At 41.9% G+C, this 6,239-nt stretch overlaps 1 annotated feature.

The window, feature by feature from the left end:
* Positions 1,156-1,657: an enhancer, noted in NCBI's record as "NANOG hESC enhancer chrX:46114084-46114585 (GRCh37/hg19 assembly coordinates)". NCBI's record gives its function as "activates a minimal SCP1, AML or CMV promoter by ChIP-STARR-seq in naive H9 embryonic stem cells {active_cell/tissue: H9 hESC(naive)}" and the evidence as "EXISTENCE:reporter gene assay evidence [ECO:0000049][PMID:30033119]".

Raw genomic sequence — 6,239 nt, forward strand, 5'->3', positions numbered from 1 at the left:
TGGGGGAATATACTACGTAAGGTATGCTAATCTTGGAGCTTTGTTGGAGATCTAGGTTGCGTGGGACCTTGGCTCAAATGACAGTGGAAATGATGGACAGATATATCTTGGGGTAGGGAACAGATATTTGTACTAAAGCAATGGAACTGATGGGAAAAGGAAGAGAAAGTAGCAGAATCAACAATCATAGATGACAATGGCTTCATAAGTATAAGTCTGAGCCAGAAAATACCAAAAATTTTGGATATTGAGGGAGGAAGAGGGGAGAAAAGAAGAAGGGAAAGGAAAAATAGGGAGAAGTAGAAATAGCAGAGTAAGGATGGGAAGCATTACTATGATCGATACTTGGAGGTAATTCTACAGAAATACATTCAGAAATTAAAAGGTGGAGAGTAAGAAACAAGGCTAGTATGAAAAGAGAGATAATAAAATTGATATGGAGTCTTGTTCTGTCATCTTCTTGGGGAAAGCTATCTCCTTTGTGTTGTCATCTGCTTCAGAAGAGTTTCAAGAAAGTCTGTTTTAAGTCTTCTGTTAAGGAAGAAGGTTGAACTGAGAATTATTACTGTGAAGTGTGTTGAATGTGCAGGTACAGAGGCCAGGGAAACATGGTTACACTATGTGCTCTTAAGTCTTGCATAAAGTCATTAGGATTTTTTTCCAGTAGGACAGGAATACTGCAAGGACTGGTACAAGGAATGAGTAAATCTGCAACAGTGGGTTGTAGTTTCTCTGGGTGCTTTGGGCTTTAGGAGATACTGAAACAATTCAGGAAGAGGCATTGTGGGATCTCATAAGGCTTCTATATCCTTTTTCTCACATTTGTAGATGATACAACCCAGAGGATACTGGGGACTGAGGAAAGTAAATAAGAAAATTGAGGCGATTCTAAGGGTAAGACAGTTGGAAACACAAGAGTGCCGAGCAGTCAAGGGAAGCCATCATAAGATGTATTTGGTCATCCTAGTCAAGGAGATCAAGAAAAAGTCCTTCACATGTGTGACCATCTAATAGTGGCACTTTATTTAGCCTGTCTACCTAAAATAACTGAAAGGATCAGAAACCAGTTTTAAAGAGGTTATTCAACGGGAAAGCTGGAAATGGCCATTCAGGAGACAGAGGCTCCGGAGAAATGGGGTCAGTGCTCCAAAGTTAAAAGTTAGGTTCTTGCTTATATATGCAGAACACAAAGAAATTAAACAGGGTTACAAGTTTTCTATACAAGGCTGGTTTAAGAGTTACAACAAATTAGTTAGTTAGTTACAGTCTGTTTTCTTTTTCCTATGGCTTGTTTTCTTTTCTTTACAGCTGGTTTTCATTTCCTTTCCAATTTAAAAGAGCATATTTAACATTCCATCTTAAGACAATGTGATAGCCATTAAATCTTTGTGTGAGAAAGGTAAGAGGGAGGTTAATCTACAACGAAGACCAACAGTACAGAGGGAAGGGGGTCTTCTCTGGTGCCCTTTGGTCATTTACAACATTTTACAAAACAATGCAGGTGAAGAAGAAGGTTTAATCTATAATCACAGAAACAAAATGTACAGCTGCCCTGGTTACAGCTGGCTGTCACATGACTCAGGCTCCATAATCACATTCCTTTAAGGCTCAAAATAATTTAGAGTTCCAACAGTTTATATTTTGAATTACTTATTTTCTCAACCCAAAAGGTCCCAACCTAATAGGTTGAGGGGAAGGAAGAGAATGAAAGGACTAAAAAGAATGACACATTGAGAAGTTAGGGTCCCAAGAGGACAGACAGGAAACTGTGTTGTATCTGTGGTAGGCCCTTTTTTCCCTTAAGCTGTTTAAGCTACAATGCCATAAGTTTGCGGTGTGAGGTTTTCTCTTTATTTATCATTTTATCCCCAAAATGCTGGGGTAAGTGTTGTAATTCATGTATAGGCATGATCTGCAAGCCTATTTTATGCTTCTGAGCAGCAGCTTACATTTCAGGCTTAAGGCCATTAACCAAATAAAGGTGGATATCACAGGTCCGAGTGGTTTTAATCAGTCACTAATATTAGAGACAGATTTATCATGCCCTTATTGACAGGACTGGATGATTCCCCAGTCCATGTAAAGGAGAAAAACTTCAGAAACGGTCTTTTTAAAATGTTCTCTTATTTCTAGGCCTTTTACATATACAGAGAGGGTGTTATTTCTATAAGGTTAGTTTGATCCTTATTTATAGAGGCCAGTTGGCCTTGTCAAACCAGGTTCAGGGATCTCCTGGTTCTATTGAAAGATGTGTTGAAAGATACAGATAAAGGAGCTCAGGAGCATAAGCCCCCAAAATAGCTCAATACATTTATTTCTTTTTGAGGATTTGGGAAATCTTTAATATGGCATAAAGGTCAGCTCACAACCAGGGTTTGAAGGTCACTTGTGATTGAGGTATTGGATTGGGGTCAGGAACTGCTTGGGAAGGAGCTGATGAAGGCCTGCATCTAAAAATGAGAGGGAGATGGGGAAGGGTAGGAAGAGGAGGAGAAGGGCACAGAAAGGAGGGCAAGGAGCAGGAAAGCAGGGCAGCAAGAAGGGACTGGGATTATAAGAGGCAGAAACAGAGCTAGACCAAAAGGAGGAGGTCTTTGTGGGGAGAAAGTTGAAGTTGTTTTGGAGAGACCATAGATTAGAGTCTGCCTGAATTGTTTCTTTACTTGGCTTCTTCTTACCAATTAAATAAAGCTACCTATTGTAAGTTAGCTATTTTATCTTCTTTTATTCCAAGGCACTTTGCAAATATACAAGTTTTGACTTGTTGCAAGATTCCAATATTGCCTTTCCTGAAGTCCCACAACTTAGAAATTTAATAGTTAGGACCACATTGGCAGAACATGTGCCCAGTGGGAGTCCATTGAAGGAGAAAGTTGGGTAGATTGTTTCCCAATAAAGGAAGTACTAGATAGAAGAAGGGAGAAGGGCCTTGTCCTACCTTAGGACCATCATCTAATCATCCACTTGCCCAGAGAATCCCAAAAAGACAAAAGGAAAATAGATGCAGTGACCTATCAGACAATAAGTTAATCCTTTCAAAGAATGGAAGCCTGAAACCTCTGTGTTACAAGAAAAAAACCTGAGCACAGAATCAGGAACATTATTTACCTCTCAACCCAACAGTAGTCCCCAAGAAAGGAGGAAGCAAAGATCCCTCAATGCAGTCTCTCCTCCTCTGAAACTGCAGTGGGATCCAGGGTTCATCCAGATCCTAAGTCACAGCATTAAACTGTCAAGAAAAAAATTGTTAAAGTGATCTCAAATAGAGGTCAAAGGCTTTATTCAGTCAATGTTCATCAGGGAGCACCTCAAAATTAGGTAACTCCCTGAACCAAAGTAGGAATGGAGTTGTTATACAGCAATGAGAACAGAGGGGTATGTGACTTTGGTCTTGTCCCAGGTTGTAGTTTTTGTTTTCCGTAACTGCTACAAAACTTGTGGTTGGCAAGATTGGGATAAGTTGGCTTTGAGAAATGTGAGCCCCTTTAAATTATCAGGCCCAGAAAGGCATTGAAATGTGACAGCAGTCATGTCTTACTTCCCTCTTTGTAATTGCCCAATGGGTTCTTCTTGCCCACTGCCCAGCTAGAGCTGACATTCAGACAGGAGAACTGCAATACAGAAAGAGTTTAATATACTAGAGCTGGCTAAACAGGAAACCTGAGTTTTATTATTACTCAAATCAGCCTCCTCAAAACTTCAGAGGCTAGGCTTTTTTGAAGGTAGTTTGGTGGGCAGGGGGCTATGGAGTAGGGAGTGCTGATTGGTCAGGTTGTGGATGAAATCATAGGAAGTCAAAGCTGTCCTCTTCAGCTAAGTGAGTTCCTGGGTGTGGGGCCACAGACCAGACGAGCCAGTTTACTGGTCTAGGTGATGCCAGTTGATCCATCAAGTGCAGGGTCTGAAACATACCACAAACACCAATCTTAGGTTTTATAATAGTGATGTTCACCCATAGGAGCAATTGGGAAAGTTAGGAATCTTGGGGCCTCTGGCTGCATGACTCGTGAGCCATAATTTCTAATCTTGTGGCTAAGTTATTAGTTTTGTAACCACTTGAGGTGTTCTTCCTGCCCACTGCATAAAGAAAGATCACAGGATTGTGGTAGAGAAAGACTTTAATAAACATGAGGCCGGCTACACCACGTGGGAGATGGAGTTTGTACTCAAATCACCTCATTTGAAGCTCATATGTTAGGGGTTTTCCAAAGGAAGTTTGGGGAAAAAGTCGGGGGGGGGCGGGTGGCCAGGTAACAGGTGCTTGCTGCTGATTGGTTGGGGCAGAGATGAAATCATAGGGGATTGAAGCTATCTTCCTGCAGGCAGAATGGCTTCTGGGTGGGGCCACAGTAGCAGGGTTTTCAGTCCAGGTGGAGTCATCTGGCCCAGGTGGAGCCAAGGGTGTCAGACATGCAAAAACCTGGAAAGATATCTCAAAAGACCAATCTACAAAACTGGTGTTATTTGCAGGAGTAATTGGTGAAGTTTCATATCTTATAACCTCCGGAATAATGTCAGCTCCTCACCTCTCCTCAGCCTGATGGCCTCCTATTAGCTTTGCAAAAGCGGTTGAGTTTTGGGCAAGGCCTATTATCATTTAAACTGTATCCTAAATGTCTTCCAAAGTTAGTTTGGCCCAATGGCCCAGGAATAATTAAGGGAAAGGCAAGATGGGGATTGGGTTAGCTTAGGTTACTGTTGTAATTTTCTCACTGATAAAACTTTTGCAAAGGCAGTTTCAGTTTTATAAATACAGTCTGGTCCCCAAGCAAGGAAGTGTCAGAGGCATTTGAACCAGAGCAACTCCATCTTGAATACGGGCTGGGTAAATAAGGCCGAGACCTACTAGGCTACATTCCCAGGAGGCTAGGCATTCTAAGTCACGGGATGAGATAGGAGGTCTAGGAGTTTGGCACAAGATACAGGTCACAAAGATTTTGCTGATAAACAGCTTGTGGTAAAGAAACTGGCCTCTGGTTGTCCTCACTGCTCATTATATGCTAATAATAATGCATTAGCATGCTAAAAGACACACTCACCAATGCCATGACAGTTTACAAATGCCATGGCAATGTTAGGAAGTTACCCTTTATGGTCTAAAAATGGGAGGAACACTCAGTTTCTGGAATTGCCCACCACTTTCCCAGAAAACTCATGAATAATCCAACCCTTGTTTAGCATACAGTCAAGAAATAACTATAAGTGTCCTTAGTCATAGAGCCCATGCTGCTGCTGCTCTCTCTATGGAGTAGCCATTCTTTTATTCCTTTACTTTCTTAATAAACTTGCTTTCACTTTATGGACGTGCCCCGAATTCTTTCTTGCGCGAGATCCGAGAACCTCTTTTGGGGTATGGATCAGTTATGTCGGAGAAAAAATAAATTATTTAGGCAGATAGTGAGGGTAAGAAAGTCCTCGGTAAGGTTTTCCTTTTAATAAAAAGCAGCCCCCAAATCATTTCTTTTCTAACAAAGAGCAGCCTGTAAATCGAGCTGCCGACATAGATAAGCAAGCTGGAAGCTTTCACGAGTGAATGCCGGCGGCTGTGCCAATAGGAAAAGGCTACCTGGGGGCTAGGAATGTTTAACATGGTGGCTCCATCTTCCCTTTTCTTTATCAACCACGTGTACAGTAAGGAACAGACAACATGGCACCGGCCACGGAGAGAATCCGTCTGCATAATAAAAGATTAGGGTGCGGTGGCCAGCTTCTTCAGGTTCTATGTAAATGGCACACCTGGTCCAACCAATCTTTGGCCCTATATAAATCAGACACCATCTCCTCAAGTCAGTCTATAAAACCCCATGCACTTGGCTATGGCCCGGGAGACCCACTCGGGCACCCCCCCTTTCACTGCAGGAGAGAGAGCCGTTCTCTTTCTTTCGCCTATTAAACCTCCACTGTTAAACTCACTTCTTACGTGTCCATGTCCTCGATTCTCTCAGCATGAGACAACGAACCTCAGATATTTACCCCAGACAATGACGCCGCTTCATCAGGACCCCTTTTCGGTAACAGAAGGGGTTTGTTTCAGGGAGGGGCTGTTGTCCTCTTTGTTTCAAAGTTAAATTATAAACTAAATTACTCCCAAAGTTACTTTGGCATATGTCCAGGAATAAACACAGGCAGCTTGGAGGTTAGAAGTAAGATGGCGTCAATTAGGTCAGATTTTTCTCATTGTCATCATTTTTGCCAAGTTATGTCCAGCTTATGGCAGTTCGATTGATTTATGGGTACTT

Source organism: Homo sapiens, chromosome X (assembly GCF_000001405.40).
Source record: "Homo sapiens chromosome X, GRCh38.p14 Primary Assembly".
Taxonomy (NCBI): Eukaryota; Metazoa; Chordata; class Mammalia; order Primates; family Hominidae; genus Homo; species Homo sapiens.